General features: G+C 39.7%; 1 protein-coding gene and 1 long non-coding RNA gene across 23 annotated transcripts in view; both read right to left on the bottom strand.

Annotated features, from left to right (window-relative positions):
• The window catches only part of CNTN6 (contactin 6), a 311,194-nt gene that overhangs the window by 222,801 nt on the left and 69,387 nt on the right, over positions 1–19,006 (bottom strand). The gene's annotated exons all lie outside the window — the stretch shown is intronic.
• On the bottom strand, positions 4,158–17,787 carry LOC105376924 (uncharacterized). The gene is made up of 3 exons (XR_940543.2): positions 15,632–17,787; positions 8,099–8,213; positions 4,158–4,540 (listed from the first exon to the last, which is right to left on the bottom strand). It is a non-coding gene; the product is annotated as an uncharacterized LOC105376924 (long non-coding RNA).

The raw sequence follows: 19,006 nt of genomic DNA, 5'->3' as shown, positions 1-19,006 counted from the left end.
AATAAGCAGCTTGCATAATTTGATGATACATGCATAATCACAATATCTGAGAAGTCATCTCCTTTTTCTGTGACCTTTATAGAGAGAGAGCAACCTCAGGATTTTTCCCCCTTCATGGGATGTGAGTAAGTGAGTTGTGTAGTGGAGAATGTGTTTTATTCATTGTGCATCTCTAGAGAAAATCAGGTCACCTTCAATGATCTTATCAGTCAAAGAAAATAGTACTGCTTCACAGAGCTATTAAAATGGAAGAGAATTAGAATGTATAAAAAGCTTTCAGATGCCAAGATCAAAGGGGAAAAAAGGTCATACACTAGGCAGGGACTGTTGCCTTTGCCGAAATTCACAATTTTGATTAACATGAAGTTGTAAATGACTACAACAGTGTAAGCAGTCATAATAAAATAAAGTAAGAAACCAAGGCCAAGGACATTACAAAAATGCAAAGAAAAAAAAGTAAAAAAAATAAGAACAAGTGAGGAAGAAACTAAAAGAGAATTAGAATAATATGCTTTTGGATCATTTGTTTATGATTCACAAAGCACTTTATCATATAACAGGGATTTTAACTCTCACAAATGAGGGAGGCGTTGTTATCCATACTTCACAGAGGTGGAGACCAAGGCTCAAACCATATAAATGTGTGCAGGTGCAAGGGACTGAGAGGCAGCAGAGCTACTATTCACTCCCAAACCTCTCATACAATCAATAGAACACTGTAAGATCTCCATAAATATTGGTGAAATGAATAAGCTTGCATTTAAGCCTGTTTTTCAAAATTCCATATCTAATGCTCTTTCCAATTAGCTGATCCCTCAATGAGTGATGAATTTATGCAAAAGCATTTCTATTCTAGTTGAAACATTGCTGACAGATAAGTAGATAAAATATTTAGTAAACCTGGATTTTAAAAATAGAGTCAGCAGGATTAGTATCTTAGGGTAACAATGTCAAACTAGAAAGGGAAAAAAATTGATTCATCTATTTTGGTGGGAACTAATAACAAGAATAATACTGTCATTCAGCAAATTATGTCTTAATTACATTCAAGGTAATTAATTGAGCACTGCCTGTGTGTCAACACAGAAATGGAAAGTATTATGAATACCCATCCCCACTTCATCTTGATTCATTAATTCTTGATATGTTGCCACATTTGTGCTCTTTCTTTATGTATCTTTCTCTCACTGTCTCTCTCTCTCTTTCTCCTTCTCTTTCATTTACTCTTTCTCTTTCTTTTCATTTTTTTTGCTGAACTATTTGAAATTAAGTTTCAGAGACCTCCAACTTTTGCTTGGGATGAACAAAGCTGGAATAAAAAAGTATTATGCCCACTCTCAGCATTAAAAAAGAATTGGACAAATTGCAAATTCATAACTTTTCTTGAACTAGTCAGAGAGCTGTGATTGCAGGAATACCAACTAACTTAAAACCTAAAAAAAGATATGTGCCTATGGGGAGAGAGGGTAAGCTAGCATTTGCTCACCTGGTAACAAATTAGTAAAGAAGGAATGTGGTTCAGTTGGCTGCAGGCATAAAACAAATTTTAACTGGCTTGTAGATTCTCACTGTAGAAAACCTTGGGGCAAGATAACAGGGAAATTTGCACCCAGAATAGGCTCTTTCCTTGGGCCCCACCAGAAGCTCATGCACACACAAAAAAATGACTGTGGTAGAATCCTCATTGTACAAAACATGGGGAGGAGAACAGCAGCCACTGCAGGAAAGACAAGAAGTCCTGCTTGTATCCCACCCTCCCCTAATTCTCCTTGGGAGAAAAGCTTTAAACTGCAGGAGGAAGTGTCTTAGGGAACTAGGGAACAGCCATTGCAGCTAGAGATAAGAAGCATTAAAAATAAAACTCTACTCCCTTCCCAGAATTACAGCTGTGGGAAACACTGGAACACGGAGGCAGCCACCTTTCTGAAACCTAAGGACATAATTCGCCTAAAACCAAGGCTTAATTAGAACAGCAATGCTCCTCTTACCACCACGCTCCCGGGCTGAAAAGCCTCCAGTGACATCTAACAGTGATTAAGAGCTTTGAGAGTTACAAAAGTGTGTGGGTAGAGACTCCGAGATTGATATAGTTTGGATGTTTTGTCATCTCCAAATCTCATGCTGAAATATAACCTTTAGTGTTGGAAGTGGGCCTAGTGGGAATAGTTTGGGTCCTGAGGGCAGATCCCTCATGAATGGCTTGTGCTGTCCTTGTGGTAATGAGTAAGTTCTCACTCAATGAGTTTATGCAAGATTTGGTTGTTTAAAACGAGCCTGATACCTTCCCCCTGTCATTCTTGCTCCCTCTTTTGCCATGTGATGCTCCTGCTCCCATTTTGCCTTCCCCTATGAGTGGAAGTGTCCTGAGACTCTCACCAGAAGATGTTGGCACCGTGCTTCTTGTACAGCCTGCAGAACCACGAGCCAAAATAGGCTTCTTTTCTTTATAAATTGCACAGCCTCAGGATTTCCTTTTACATAGGAATGCAATGCAAATGGACTAACAGAGAGTTGCAGTGTGAAGAGATTACCCTAAAGATGGGAGTGAAACAGACTACTCTCTGGCAAACCAGTCCTCACTCTAAACACAAGTATAACCAAAGGAAGTGGAAGCCAGTGGTAGAGTGCAAGCATAACAAACCCAAACCCAGCACAACTACTGACTACATTGCTCAAACTTCCACACTAACGACCTATCAGAAGTAAAAACATGCCTATTCTTAGGTTTAGAAACTATTTAGTCTCCACTCTTTTGGACAAAATGTCGAGCTTCAGCAAAAAGTTATTAAGCATATGAGAAAACAGTGGGGGGAAGGAAACTACCAAGAGACAAAGCAATCAACAGAACCAGAATCAGATATGACATAGGTATTGGAACTATCACATAGAGAATTTGAAATAACTCTAATTCATATATTGAAGCTCTACTGGAAAACACAGACAATATGCATCATCAGCAGGCTAATTTCAATAGATAGATGGTAAAAATCAAGTAGAAATCTAGGAATGGAAAACATAGTAGCAGTGATGAAGAAACCTTCATCTTATCAGTAGACTTGACATATCAAAGGAAAGATTTGGTAGACTTGAAGATGTCATTAAGGAATTCCTAAACTAAAACACAAAGAGAGAAAGAGTGAATAAAGCAGAACAGAGCATCTAAGAGCTGAGTGTAATTGGAATCCTGGAAGAATAAAGTAAGAAAAGTGCAGGGGAGGCCGGGCGTGGTGGCTCATGCCTGTAATCCCAGCACTTTGGGAGGCTGAGGTGGGTGGATCATTTGAGGTTAGGAGTTCAAGACCAGCCTGGCCAACATGGTGAAACCCTGCCTCTACTAAAAATACAAAAATTAATCAGGCGTGGTGGTTGGTGCCTGTAATCCCAGCTATTAGGGAGGCTGAGGCAGGAGAATTGCTTGAATCCGGGAGGCAGAGGTTGCAGTGAGCGGAGATTGCACCACTGTACTCCAGCCTAGGTGACAGAGTGAGACTCTGTCTCAAAGAAAAAAAAAAAAAAAATGGAAAGGGCAGGGGGAGTTTAAGAAACTCAGTGAACACCAGTCAAGACAGAAGTCATATTCAAATAGAAGTATCAAGACATACAGAAAATCTTACCAATAAAGAAAAAAAATTTATACATATATACCGAAAAATAAAAAAAGTAAAGAATATTTCCCTTCAGAAATCATGCATGTAAGAAGAAAACATAGTGATGTCTTTAAAGTGCTGAAAGAAAAAAATCTGTCTGCCCACAGTTCTATACCCAGTGAAAGTATCTTTCAAAAATTATGGAGAAATAAAGGTTTTCTTAGGTAAACAAAAATTCAGAGATTACATTGTCAGCAGAGCTGAACTTGAAATATATTTTAAAAATTTCTTCAGGCAGAAAAAAGGTGATGCTAGATAGAATCTTGAATCTTGACAAGGAAATTAAGAGATCTATAAATGCAATAAATGAAGACAAAAATACAATTTAAATTTCTTACTTTTAACTGCTTTGAAAGAAGTTGCAGAGTATCACATTTCATCCCTAAATTCCACAGCATTATTTTCTGAGAAAAAGACTATTCTCTTTCAATAATCATAACAACATCACACTTGAGAAAATTAAGGTAGACACAATACTTCATTATAATCTATGTTCAAGTTTATTCAACAAACCCCCCAAAATTTTTTATATCTGAGTTTTAAAATATCAAACCAACATTGTGTTTACTATGCAATCTCTCGCTTCTTTTAATTAGAACATTTTCCTCACATTTTTTACTTTTATCACGTTGACGTTCTTGAAGATCCCAGGCCATGGAGAAGGGTTCCCAGTTGGAACTTTGTGATTGTTTCCTCAGGATTAGATTAAGATTAAACATTATGGCAAGAAAAGGACATGAGTAATATTCTATGCTTTCTTTTGTCATCCAGAGGTGTATTATTTCAGTTGGTCTCATTATGAGTGATGCAAAATTTGATCACTTGGTTGTAGTAGAAAGTGCACCTCTTAGCATTGAGGAGGCCTTTTACTCTGCTTGTAATGAAGAAATAATCTGTGGAGTGATATTTAGAGATCATGTGTAGTACATTTTGACTCATTAATACTTTATTAGCATAAACATTTTAAAACCCTTCACAGCTAAACATCTATCTATGAATTGTTGTCTGTATCTATTGCTTCTATTTCCACACTTTCCACTTAGTAAATTCAATTTTACTTATCTCTTAAATAAACAGACATAGTTCAACTAAAGTTGTAGGTGACATGCTTGTTATGATACCTGTAGATATTTTTAACTTCTCTATATACTTGAATAATCAAGAGTTATAAATTTTTCCCTCACCTGAAAACTTGCTTTTTCTTTGCTTTTTGTGATTCCATACTCCCTAGTTTGCCTCGTATCTTTGTGGCTAATATTTCTCCATCACCGTTGCATGCTAGTCATTCTCTACCAGCCACTCTCTTCGGCTAACCAGGTTGAATCAAACAGCCTCAAGTTTGATCTGGGGCTTTTTTCTGAGGCAGAGTTTCACTCTTGTTGCCCAGGTGCGGTGCACGATCTTGGCCCACAGCAACTTCTGCATCCCAGGTTCAAGTGATTCTCGTGCCTCAGCCTCCCGAGTAGCTGGGATTACAGGCATTCACCACCATATCCAGCTAATTTTGTATTTTTAGTAGAAACAGGGTTTCTCCATGTTGGTCAGGCTGGTCTCAAACTCCCGACCTTAGTTGATCCGCCCGCCCCGGCCTCCCAATATTTCTACTATATTTTGTTATACATGTTGTGGTGATTCCCAAATTCATCACAACTCTGACTCCTTTTCCTTCTTTTTATTCCACAAACATCCACTGTTTGTACTCAATATTTCTACAGGGACAATAAACTCAGAGCTTTTCAAATCAAAATGTAGAAGGAAGCACTTACAATCTCACCCCAGATTTAGTTCTCTCCTTTTTTATTTCAGAAAATGCCACAACCAGTGAACCAATTGCTGAGGTTAGACACCTAAGAGTCCTCCTTGACAAATTCCTTCTTCTCCATTGTATCTATATAAAATGCAATACCAAGTCTCACTTTTAACCCTTCAATTACATCCTAAATCTATTCAAATAGTTCTGTTGCTACAGCAAGAGTCCCGCATCACACTATTGCTATTTTGGCTTTGATTTCTATGACTGCCTTTTAATTCTCATTCTTTCCACTCTCACAATATATTCACCAAAGAGTAGCCAATGGGGTCTTTTGCATATACAAATCAGATAATGTCTTTGTTGTTTGCCTCTCCTGCTCTACTGCCCTCTTGCAGCTAGAAAGTCTTTAATAACTTCATATTGTTTTACAATATAGTAGAGTATCCTTAGTAATTTGTAAAAGGACCTACAAAGTCCTATATAGTTTGGTCCCTGCCTCTCCCTGCTGCCTCATCTGCTGTGCTCCCAGTTGCTATCTGCAATTGGCTAACCTGCTGTTAGCCTTGAGTAGACTGTGTTTTCTCCCATACCTCACTTTGTTCTTTTGTTTGTTTGTTTTTGCCTATACCCTAAATGCCTCTTCTCCACTGTATCTAATCATTGGTAAAATTTTATTCACATTTTAGTTAGAAAGTCAATTTTTTATGGTAGTGTTATTTGAACTCCTTAGATCAAGTGGAATTTTCCTTTTACATGCTCTTAAAGATATGTCTTTTTTTTTTTTTTTTTTTTTTGAGACAAAGTCTCACTCTCTTGCCCAGGCTGGAGTGCAGTGGTACTCACCGTAGTCTGGGCCTCCCACCCTCAAGCAATCCTCCTTCCTCAGCTCCCTGAGTGTCTGTGACTACAGGCACACCACCATGCCTGGCCAAATTTTGTGTTTTTTGTAGATGGGGTCTCACCATGTTGCCCAAGCTGGTCTCAAACTCCTGGGTTCAAGAGATCACCCACCTTGGCCTCCAAAAATGCTGGAATTACAGGAATGGCCCACCACACTCTGCCAAGATATTTGTTTTAATACACTGATTATAGATGTGCTTGGGAGTGTGTCTGTGTGTGCACACGCGTGTGTGGGCGCATGCATATAAGAATAAACAATTATTTCCGGACTATAAACTTTTTAAGGATTGGGGCAATGTCAGCTTTGTTCAGTGCTTTACCTGTAGCACAGTGCTTGGCATATCAATTTAGCATTATTATTCATTGGGTTCTTCCTATGTGTCAGCCACTGATTTAAGGGACACAGAAGTGAGCATGTGGGTGAAGCCATGAGTATTGTTGAATGGATGACTGAAATTTTAGGAGATTAGTGTGGACTCCAAAGTTCACACTGATAGTTACTAATCATACTTTGTACTACAATTATAATCTTGAATTTTAAATGCAGAAAAGAGAAAGAGAGATGGATTCAGTGGCTGTCATTTCCATTGTTCAGTCTACAGGGTCATATTTACGACAGAAGATCTGACAGGAGAACATTTGTGATAAGAAAACTGAGAAGTTCCATGAGATGCTGCTAAAAAATTTCCGTTTGAGTTTCAGATTCCATCTGAAAATACCTCCTCTATACCTTTGTATTTAACAAAATAACTCTTAACGTGACCTCTCAGAGGACATTCTATGAGCTCCTATGCCAATTAAAAGACATTTAGTAAATTGGGTGCCTCTGAAGAGATGTACAAATTTGTTAGCTTTACCTCTGGCTGTAGCTAAATGAACAGGAAATTCTTAGGGGAAAAAATAAAGCCTCTGTAAAAGCGAATGTATTGTGTGGGTACCAGAGAAATGCCTCAAGCTGAGATTTGCAGAGAAGACCCATTTTATAAAGGGCTATATTAAATTAAGTAAGTGCTTGGAGTCTCTGGAGAGAGACACTATGAAGATATTTGAATGAGCACAAAGTTAAGTAGCAATGAATGTAGAGTTTTCTATTACTGGTGTTTTCTCCAGTGTATTTTGTAAGCCCTTTGTGAGGCAGTAATACCCACTGCATCAGAAAATCACAGTGTATTGGAGATAGAAAGGAATTTAAAATTCATAATTCCAACCCCACCAGTTTACAAATAAAGAAACAGAAGTCTCGAGAGGTACATCATTGCTCTGGTGTGCAGGAGCATGTAGTGGCATATCTGAGATCAGAATTCTCGTCTAGCTCATTATTTTAGTTTTTTTTTTTTTTCCCCAAAAGGAAAATACAGGAAACAGGCAGTTCCAGAGATGGTTTTGTTTGTAATCCAATTTTCACGTCATTGAAGATTCTAGAAATGCATTCATTTTGTCAACCGCCAAGCCAAATAAAGATGACAATAATATTGTGGATCAGGCAGTAAAAAAATAATCTCAACAGAAGCTCACAGGGAGGTGGTGTGATAAAGTGGAACATCCTTGGGCATTGGGATTGGATGGGTCCGGGTTCACATCCCAACTTCGTCATGTACTAGTTGTATGAAATTTGGCAGCTGTTAACTTATCTTAATTAGTTGCCTTTATCTAAATGGAGATTATAATACTTCCTGTCCTTTAGAGGATTTTCTGAGGATTAAATGAAATAATTCACGTAAAGCACTTAGCTCAATATCGAGCACATGCTGTAAAGCTTAGTAAAGGCAGCTGTTTTTACTGGAGCATTCACACTCACCTCTTTGCAAACCGCCAGGTGATATAAGGGCACTTAGCATAAGAGGTAGATTTCCAAATGAAGAAGCCAGAGACGAAGTCCAGTTAGCAGCAGAATTGGACTGATATAAACTTTTCTAGGATGAAACAAATAGAGTGATCCTTCAAAATGTCCTCTCCTTACGGTATGCCTGGAGAGATGTCACAGATGGCAGAAAAGCCAGAAGAGAGAGAACATCTCCAAATAGCAAGACAAGTGAGTTAAATGGGCAATGGCGCTGAGTCAGTTCTGGTGTGATATAAATAGTGCTGAGTTCTGTCTTTATTTTGTGAGCAGAGACCTTGACCTGAACCCTCCACTCCTGGAGAAAGATCTTCCAGTAGGAAGACATGTGCATTATGTGAAAATGGGCAGAGATTCCTGCCTCTGATGTTGAATAGCCAAGTGAGACACCAACAGACTAGCAGACCAGAGGCCAGCTGCCTCTAAATCATTTTCAAAAAGAGACAGCTTGCCTCATGACAGGGCTATAGATAGAACCTTGCCTTTGCTCTCGTGTATATGAGTTGCTTATCAGAAATCTGACTGCCCTTTCAAGAATATGTGATCCACTGGGACATAGTTCATTCCGGATTTTGGTGAGATGACTGACATTCCAAAACTATGGGTTAAGTTGTGATACACACACACACACACACACACACACACACACACACACAGAGAGTTATTGCAGACTGTCTTCACTTTTCACAAGGATTCTTGGATGCTTTTGGGAAATGGTACACTAAAGTGGGCGGAACAATCTGAAATGACCATTTATTTAAAAGATAATGTCAGAAATGCACTTTCTTTTGATCTCAGAAAACTTTACTCGAAAGTTTCACTATACAGATTAAATGAAGTAATATTATAGGTACTTAGTGCAGAGGCTGGCACATGGTAGGTGTTTAATCATTGTTAATTCCCTTCTTTCTTGTTTTCCTCCTTTGTGATACACTGCTGTTACATAAAAAGTCAGTTTCAATTTTTATTCTTTATCACCAGTAGCATCTGCAGAGGGCAATATAATCCTGCTATTTTTGAAGACATGAAACTGATAAAAGAGAGAACTGGGGTTCAGAGAAGTGATATTTTTTAAGCACCTCTGAGAAAGTAGGTACAAAGTTGGGAGGGAGAGAAGTATAAAGTTCATATAGTTACTCTTCCAAGAGGGCTTTAGGGGAGTGGATTTAATGGGAGATTTTCCTGAATTGTCTGTCACCTCCATGAGGAGATGGTCTGATGGGAGAGGGATAGGAGTTACCATGTCAAGGGACTCAAGAGCTTCAATGGGTTTGGATGGTGTGAAATTGAAGGCTGAGGCTTTATGAGAAGGCACGATGCAACATGGTTCTTTAGAATTATGAGCATTCTAAAGTCAAGAGTATACAGCAGGCCGAGTGTGGTAGCTCACGCCTGTAATGCGAGCACTTTGGGAGGCTGAGGCAGGAGGATGGCTTGAACCCAGGAGTTCAAGACCAGCCTAGGCAACATGGGGACTCTCTGTCTCTGCAAAAAATTAAAAAACTAGCCAGGCATGGTGGCATGCACCTGTAGTCCCAGGGACTTGGGAGGCTGAGGTGGGAAGCTCACTTGAGCACAAGAGGTCGAGGCTGCAATGAATTTGTTCACACAACTGTACTCCAGCCTGGGCAACAGAGTGAGACTCTGCCTAAAAAAAAAGAGTATAGAGCAGTGGTTCTCAATCGAAGGTACTTTTGCTCCAGTGGATTTGGGAGTCAAGCCAGTTTTTGGTTGTCACAACCGGGGGTTGGTGGCACAAGTGGCATTTATAAGTACAGGCAGGAATGCTGCTAAACATCTACAGGCTCACACAGCAAATAATTATTTGGTTCAAAATATGATTAGTTATCTGCTCAGCAGTGTTGAGATTATAAAATTCTGGTTTACAAATAGGACATTAACTCTGTAGCCAAAATTTAAATTGTGGGTTATTTTAGCTGTATTTTCACATTTTCCCCATCTCTTTCTGGAACCTACACATATTATTTCTTTGCTTAAATTTTTGGAGTTTGATCTATGGTCAAAATAACCCAGTTATTCACTTATGATAAATGAGATGGAGCATGACCCCCTGTCCATTTTAACATTGAATATTTAGCTCATAGCATTAAGAAGTAGACATTTAAGCCCAGGGATCAAAGAATGACAGCAAATTTCCCAGTGTTGGAGTCTTAAGATCTGGTCCATAGAGTTATGAGCACAATTTGGTTGCCAATGGCATTGGCCATTGCTGCTAGTTCAACTGTTCTTAAAGCAACTATTGGCACTACCCCTACCCCAGTCACCACTAGTTACTGTTTATCGAGCACTTTCTACGCACTTTGCATTCTTGCAAGTCTGTACAAATAGTAATATATAAAACCCACTCTATGGAGTGGGTATTGTGGCTAATATAAAGGTAAAGAGATAGATGCTAAGCAAGGTTTGTAACTTGTCAGAGGTAACCCAACTTCTTAAAGAGCAGAGATGGGATTGGTACCCAGCTATGTCCTTCCTCAAAGCCCATGTTTTTAAAAGTTAAGTACCCAGCAGTGTTTATAAGGAAGAAACAAGGGAAGGAGGAAAAAATTCAGAGGAGATGGCTTATGTATCTTTCCTTTTGATTTTTGACACACTTAATTTGGTTCTCAGTGTCCCCTGTGATAAGACTTGGGTAATACAAACAATACAAAAAATGAAATTGTCAAGGTTTGTACAAATGTTTAAGCTTCACTTTGGTTATTCTTATTTATGTTAAGTTCTCTATCTTCCTGGGATATCAGTTCTTTTGAAATCAAAGGGCTGTAGAGATTGGGTGTTTTATCCCCAAATAGACACCCAGGTTTGTTATTTAAATAGACACTCGATTTTCAACGGGTTCTGCTACTAACTGTGGGTCTTTAGCTTACGTTACCCATATTTTGGTCTGTATATTGGGGAGAATAACACTTATTGTCCTTTCTACCTCACAGTTTTTAAATGATTATAATTAAAGATCTTTGAATAGTGTGAGTAAGCATATTAAAAGTATTGCTTTTTTTTTTTTTTTTTTTTTTTTTTTGAGATGGAGCCTTACTCTGTCATCCAGGCTGGTGTGCAGTGGCATGATCTCAGCTCACTGCAACCTCTGCCTCACGGGTTCAAGCAATTCTCTTGTCTCAGCCTCCTAGGTAGCTGGGGCTACAGGCTTGCACCACCACATCCGGCTAATTTTTTTGTATTTTTGGTAGAGACAGGGCTTCACAATGTTGGCCAGGCTGGTCTTGAACTCCTGACCTCAAGTGATCCGCCCGCCTCGGCCTCACAAAGTGCTGGGATTACAGGCATGAGCCACCGCAACCGGCGAAAGTATTCTTTTTCTAATAAAATTTAAGGTGAATATAATATGGGCCACCCATATCACTTGAAAATTGTAAGAAAATACACAATAGAGCTAAATATTTGATTATTTATCAAAGTCAGAATTTTTGGTGATATTTGGAAATTCAGAATGACCAAAGTTTATCAAATAAAATAGAAAGCCTGAGCCAGTTATCTGATTAGCATAGTGAGAAGTGTCTCAGCTTTGCAGGCTATCTACATAATTGGCACAAATGTTTAAAGGCTTGACCATTTTTATTTTAAAAATAGTATAAATCCATTTGGAAAATTTAGAGAAGTAAAAGGAGGAAATAAAATATGCTGAAACTCTACTACTTGGAATTACTTTCCTAACTCAGCTCTGAAACTTGACCATAAAGCCTCTTTATATTATTTTTCTAGCCCCTCGTTAAATACGGTTTATGCTGAAGAAAGATGAATAATTCTCATCATTATCTGCAGTATCCCTGAAAAGCTAAATATGCAGTCAAACTCTGGATCATCTCACAAGCATTGAGGATTAAAGTGGAATGTGGACAGAATCAGAAAAGAGAAGACAGAGCTGAGGAAGGCGGTTGAATACAACAAGGAGGCTGAATGTCCCCTCCTTCCCCACACCTGACCACAGCCTCTAGCTGGTTTGCTGTCTCCCTTTTAGACTATGTCACCTTTTTTAAGTATTTAGAAAGAACATTTAATCTGGAGGCCTCTTAGGCTAAATAGAAGAACAAATCCTCTGCCAATTGCATGCTCTTTGATAAATTCTCATTGCTTTTAGAATTAAATCCTAAAGCATGACTAGGGCCTCTGAGACTAGTATGTCTGCCTTTTCCCTTCCTTCTTCCTCATTTCATACCATCCTTCCTCTGCCACTCACTGCATCCCCATCAGTCATTCTGGCCTGCTTTGTCTCCACGGATGAGTGACTTTGGCTTTCCCTTGCCAGGAATACGCCTTTTTAAACACCCTTCCCACTCACGTCCACCTGAGTTATTCTCTATATCAGCAATATAGTTTGATTCCGTTAAAACAGTTTTCAAAACTTGTATTTTCTTAAAAAAAATTAACCTATATATTAGCATCACTGTTGTTAGACCAGATGCTTCTAGAATGTCCCTTTTTTTGCTCATCATTAACTCCACTAAGCCTAGAAATTGCTCTGTGCTTAGAGAGAACATGCAAAATGCAGGAAGAATATATGTGTGCTTGAGTTCAGATCTCAGCACCCCCAGGTACTCTTGTGTTACCTGAGTGACATTGGGCAGGTGGCTTAACTGATATTTATCCCAGACCTGGGATCTGTAAAATGAGGTTAAAATATTTCCCACCCAGAGCCCCTCAACATTCAACACTCCCAAGATAACTCCTTATTGCACATATTTGTGACTATACGTCTCAGAGCTCGTCTCTTGTTTAGTCAGTGCTTAGAACAGTTGATGCCAGTGATGAAAGGGCAGTGACGGGCAAGTGTCCCAGCTTCCTGGTCCCTTAGTCACATTCTGATAAGACACTGAGGTGTGTTCTACACTACCTCCTGTATACAGAGTCTCAGTCATACTAGATGTGCACTGCTCAATAACAAACCTCATCCTTTCTCACCCTGTCTCACTTACCATTTACTGGGGCTTTTGGGGATTATCTTTTAAATAAATTACTTTCATTCATATTTTTTTCTGAAAGTCGGCTTCTGGAGGAGCCCAACCTAAAACACAGGGTTAATAACATTTCCAGGCCGGGCGCGATGTGTCACGCCTGTAGTCCCAGCACTTTGGGAGGCCGAGGTGGGCAGATCACCTGAGGTCAGGAGATCGAGACCAACCTGGCCAACATGGGGAACCTCCCTCTCTACTAAAAATACAAAAACTACCCAGGCGTGGTGGCGTGCACCTCTAGTACCAACTACTTGGGAGGCTGAGGGAAGTAGAAGTGCTTGAACCCAGGAGGCGGAGGTTGCAGTGAGATTGTGCCACTGCACTCCAGCCTGAGTGACAGAGTGAGACTTCATCTCAAAATAAATAAATGAAATGAAAAAAAGAATGACATTTCCTATGTCGTCAAATTATTTTGAGATCCTAACTCATGGAATTATTTGAAAGCACATATGAGTGCTCAATATATGTTGGGTGTTAGCATCCCTTCACTCTGTTGAACAGCGGTTGAATCTAGCAGCTAAGAAGTTAGATTCAGGAGCGAGACAGCCTGCATTCAAATCCCAGTTCCACCACTGGCTCACTCTGTACCTTGGGGCAAGCTTCTTACCCTTCCCTCATTTTCCCCATCTGTAAAATGGGGCCAATACAATTTGCCCACCTGAGGGACTTACGGTATGTTTAAGCTATATATCTAATCACCTGGGAGATTAAAAGAGTGTAAAAGTGCATAGGAAATGTCGTATGGCTGTTTGTGATGATCATTGTGACTCACGGGGCACTTCATTATTTTAATATGTGCTTGCTAGCTAAACAAAAGATATTTACCAAAGCCATGTTAGGTACTTCGGAGACAGAGTAAAAAGATACATTGGATATGGATCCCCATCTGGGCAACATTTCAGATACGTCATCTAGGTGAAAAGGAAGGTAACACCTAGGTAAGACCTCCCGTAAAGATCTCTAGTACAAGAAATTGGCAACTGATAGGAAAAAATGAAAACTAGTGTGACTTGAATGTGTATCATTTGTCATGCAGTATGTAAGACAGAGAGGGGTTCAGTAGCTTGCCCTGCCACACAAGTAGTAAGGTGCCAGGTATGAACCAAGGTGTTTTTGTTTGTTTGTTTGTTTGTTTTTGTTTTATTCTCCCCACTCCTCCACCATTTATAATTTGTCTTTCATCCCTACCACTCTACTGCACTGTTCTCTCACAACCACTGTTTCTTTTTTTTTTTTTTAATTTTAAGTTCTGGGATACATGTGCAGAACGTGCAGGTTTGTTACACAGGTATACATGTGTCATGGTGGTTTGCTGCACCTATTAATCCATCATCTAGGTTTTAAGCCCCACAAGCATTAGGTATTTCTCCTAGTGCTCTCCCTCCCCTTGCTCCCAACTCCCCAATAGGCCCTGGTGTGTGATGTTCCCTTTCCCGTGTCCATGTGTTCTCATAGCTCAACTCCCACTTATGAGTGAGAACATGCAGTGTTTGGTTTTTCTCTTCCTGTATTAGTCTGCTAAGAATGATGGCTTCCAGCTTCATCCATGTCCCTGCAAAGGACATGAACTCATTCTTTTTTATGACTGCATAGTATTCTGTGGTGTATATGTGCCACAGGTGTCTTTAATTGCGGAGCCTGTGTCCTTAATCAGCTTAAGAGCTCCCTAGCCCTACTGATAGATAAGTGCTGTGCTTCCTTCCCCAGTAGCATCTGTCATCTGGATGAGATGTGTAGTTTGATTCCTTTAAAACAATTTTAAAAACTTGTATTTTCTTAAAAAAAATTTTAATCTGTATCTTAGCATCTCTGCCATTTGACCAGAAGCTTCTAGGATGTGCCTTTTTTTTGCTCATCATTAACTCCACTAAGCCTAGAAATTGCCTTGTGTTTGGCAAAATGCAGGAAGAATATATGTGTACTTGGGTTCAGATCTCAGCACTCCCGGGTACTCTTGTGTTATCTGAATGACATTGGGCAAGTGGCTTAACTGATTTGTATCCTAGATGTGGGATCTATAAAATGAGGTTGAACTATTTCCCACTCAGAGCCCCTCCACATTCACCACTCCCACGATAACTCCTTACTGCCCATATTTGTGACTATATGCCTCAGAGCTTGTCTCTTGTTTAGCCAGTACTTAGAACAGTTGATGCCAATGAGCTGCCCCTGCATGCCAGGATCCAAGCAACGCACTGAGAAATGAGCACTGAATGTTACCGACTCATAAGTTATACTTCTCTTTCCTCATGCATCTTCTCAGAGATGTAGGAATTCAAGAGAGGGAGACTTTCTGTGGGTAAGTGGTAATGTGGAGATGATGGAAGACTTACTGATTTTGGAGTGGCCCTTGAAGGGAAGGAAGAAATGAAAATGTGTGTTCAGAGGGATCAGGCACTGTAAGAAATGGGGAGTGCTCGAAGAAAGGCAGTGGCACAGAGAGTTTGAGAGTGCCATTTTAAAATTCAGTCCGTGCTAAAATACAACTTCTGTTACTGACCTGCCATGTTATCTTGAGTAAGTCACTTAACCTCTTCAGCTTTGATTTCTTCATTACAAATGGAAACAATAGTAATGCACATCTCATGGTTATTGCCTGGGTAATATAGATAAAGAACTAGTGAGATACTCAGCAGCTACTAAATGGTCAATGCAGGTAGCTGTTGTGATTATTATTATTATAAGTCCTTGTAGAAGTGAGTGTGTGTGTGTAGTGGGGGTGATGCACTCAGTTTGGCCAGCACAAAGTGTCTTTATAGAAGAAAGGTAGGAAAAAAGTTTGAAAAAGCTCATTGGAATCCTGCTAGAGCTTCAATACAAGGTTGAGAAGAATCTATCTGGTTCTGCAGCAAAGGGACAGCACTTGAAGCGTTTGATCCAAGCAGATGGACCATTGAAACTCATTTGCAAAATGAGAAACATAAAACTATTATGATTTCCTATTGGTGTAATGGGAGGAAGAGTGGGGCTGATAATAGGAGAAAAGAGGATTGCAGAGTCTTCCGCAACAGCCTAGATGAGCGGTAATGAGAATGGGAATGGGAAGAGCCAACGGCTTCATTAAAAAGCCAGATCTTTCAGTGAAATGAACACTAGGATATGAACACTTGGTTGGTTTCTGGTTCCTCCAAGCCACACAAATAACCATGGACAAGCATGTAACATCTCTGACCCTCTAATAATGTCATGAGAGATCATGAACTGTAAATGAGGTGAGGTGTGAAAATACCCTATATTCTGTAAAGCACTATATATGATACCACTGAAACAGTCTTTATTACCTTATTACAGCCCAATACCCTCCAATGCATGCTTGCATTTTTCTTTATTTGGGTTATAGCACTAAAAATCAAGGTTAAGCCACAAAAAAATCCACTCAGATGTACAGTGATATAATGTACCTTGAGTCCTTAATTTTTATGCATGAATTAACATGCTCCCTAGGTAAAGCACAGTACTGTGGGACTTAAGGCCAAGGCTGACTTTTGGGGATTCTGTAAGGTTCAAAAGGGGTTTGGATGGTAAGCAGGAACTGCTGCCTAAAAACTAAATGGCACAGGGAGGCTTCACAATACAGAGGAAGAGACAAAAAATACCTATGCCAAGTTGCATAGGCTTCTGAGTCCTAATATATGTCAAGAATTTCTTCAGTATCCTAATCACATTCTACATGAAAACTATAGCCCCTCCAAAGCCTCCATATTCACCAGCTATCATAGGAAAAACCAAAGTATAGTGATTTGGATATCATTCCCCTGTCATGTATGACAAATTTGAACTGTACAGATACTAGTTAAGGTTCAATCAGGAAAGCAAAACTACTGTGAATCATGTAAAATAGAGGATTCATTTTAGGAGGAAGACCTTATGTAATTGTAAGAGAAGATGATGGTACAAAAGTGAGAGGGGAAATATCACAGTGATACTGCTAACAAGCCCTCTTGGGCACTGGAGCAGGTGGTCAAGTCAGATCTTGCAAGGAAGCCAGCAAGTTCAGCTGCCAGAATGGGCATGTGAAGGGGAAGCGTTTGTGAACTGTTGCCTCTAAAACTGGAGTGGACCTAAGGTCAATGTTGGTCAGTAGTGCCACCAGTTGGGCCAAAACCTGGATATGAAGAAGGAAACAGAGGACGAGCTCTCTGTTAACCTGTGTCTCTTTCTCACCAGACAAACTTACATGCAGCTTTCACAGAGTAGCATCATTTCCACCTTCCAAATCTCACACAAATTTCCTTTTTGTTCATCTCTAATCCAGATCTGGATAGGGAAGAGAAATTCTGAAAACATAGTTCTAGCTCAGCCAAGGTTGTCAGTCTAGTGAAACTTGTTGTTTCCTGGTGCAGATTTCCCCTGCTCTTCAATGTTTACCACTAAAAGAAGCAGTAGTTTAAATTGAGATGAATCCATTGATTACAGATTGGCTAAGTGTTTATGTTCTTACGACATCAGCTGCTAATCATGTGTTTCAGGTTGTCTCCTCAGATTAATAGTTTGTTTGGAGTGTCTGAGTATCTCACTGAATTAACTGATTGACCGCATTGACAGACAGGCAGACTAATCAATGAGCTTTGCTGGGCACAGTAGCTCATGCCTGTAATCCCAGCAACTAGGGAAGCTGAGGTGGGAAGACACTTGAAGCCAGTAGTTCCAGATCATCCTGGGCAGCATAGCAAAACCTCATCTGTAAAGTAGTAATAATTTAAAAAATTAGCCAGGTGTGGTGGCATGTGCCTGCAGTCCCAGCTACTTGGGAGGCTGAGGCAGGAGGATCTCTTGAGCCCAGGGGTTCGAGGCTGTAGTGAGCTATGATCGCGTCACTGCACTCCAGCCTGACTGGCAGAACCAAACAAATTAATGAGCTTTCAAGGCTGGCACATGAGGGCATAGCACAACCTTAGCCATAGAATAGTGGCATTCAAATATAACACTGCAGTTTAATAAGCATTATCCATTTGTGACTATGTTCCTTCAGTGATGCTCTTGATAATAATTTCAAAATAACAGTCAGAAAAAGTTTGATGAAACACAGCACAGAGCAATTCACTCATAATTACCCAAGGGAATAGCATAAGATGGATAAATAAAATTCACAGAAGAGTCCCAAATTGCCTTTTAGCTAAAACAAGCTGCGTTGTCCTCATATATTCTTTCATCAGAACTATTAAGAAATTGTAAAACTGTGTAACGCTTCTCATCTTAGAATCATTGGGTAATCAGAACTGGAAAGGATGGTGTGATCTCCTGGTACAAGGATTACAATTCCATTGTCTTCAAGGGACAAACAGAAAACAAGAGGCTGCCAGGCCAGTCCCTAGGCACAGATGATTTTCTGTGGTCTGAATACTCTTTGCTTTGCTTTTCTGTTCCCACATTTCTCATTTGGAGTGATTTTGACGTTGTAAAAATATAAGCAATGGGAGGATACAAAGGGTCAGAATGTCTAGCTAGATGATAAACAGAAAAACTGGCAGTTGAGTAGAAGATGGCACTTCTGAAACCAGTTCTTCAAGCCCATCTGTGCCATCAATCCTCACGTGCTTTTGGACTCTGGAAATGTGTTCTCAAACATAAAGCAAGATCCGGCTTCCACAGCTATGTCATTATGCAACAACAAATCATTTGACAAATCATCAATTCTATTTGAGAGACTAAGTGTTTGAGTAAGTAAAATAAATGTATGGCCATGAACTTAGATATATCAAGTTAAAGCCCTGGCCTCAGATTCAGTTTAGCAATGTTACAGAAAGAGGACAAAGTGGAAAAGACAATTGGCAATTAAGAAGGGATGGTGCAGCCACACAGATTTGATATTAGAACACACTTCTCCCTCTGTGATTGGTGATTCTCTGTAAGACTTTTACGAAGAAGAAGGGGT

Source organism: Homo sapiens, chromosome 3, assembly GCF_000001405.40.
Source record: "Homo sapiens chromosome 3, GRCh38.p14 Primary Assembly".
Lineage (NCBI taxonomy): Eukaryota > Metazoa > Chordata > Mammalia > Primates > Hominidae > Homo > Homo sapiens.
This window is presented reverse-complemented; position numbering and strand designations above follow the sequence as displayed.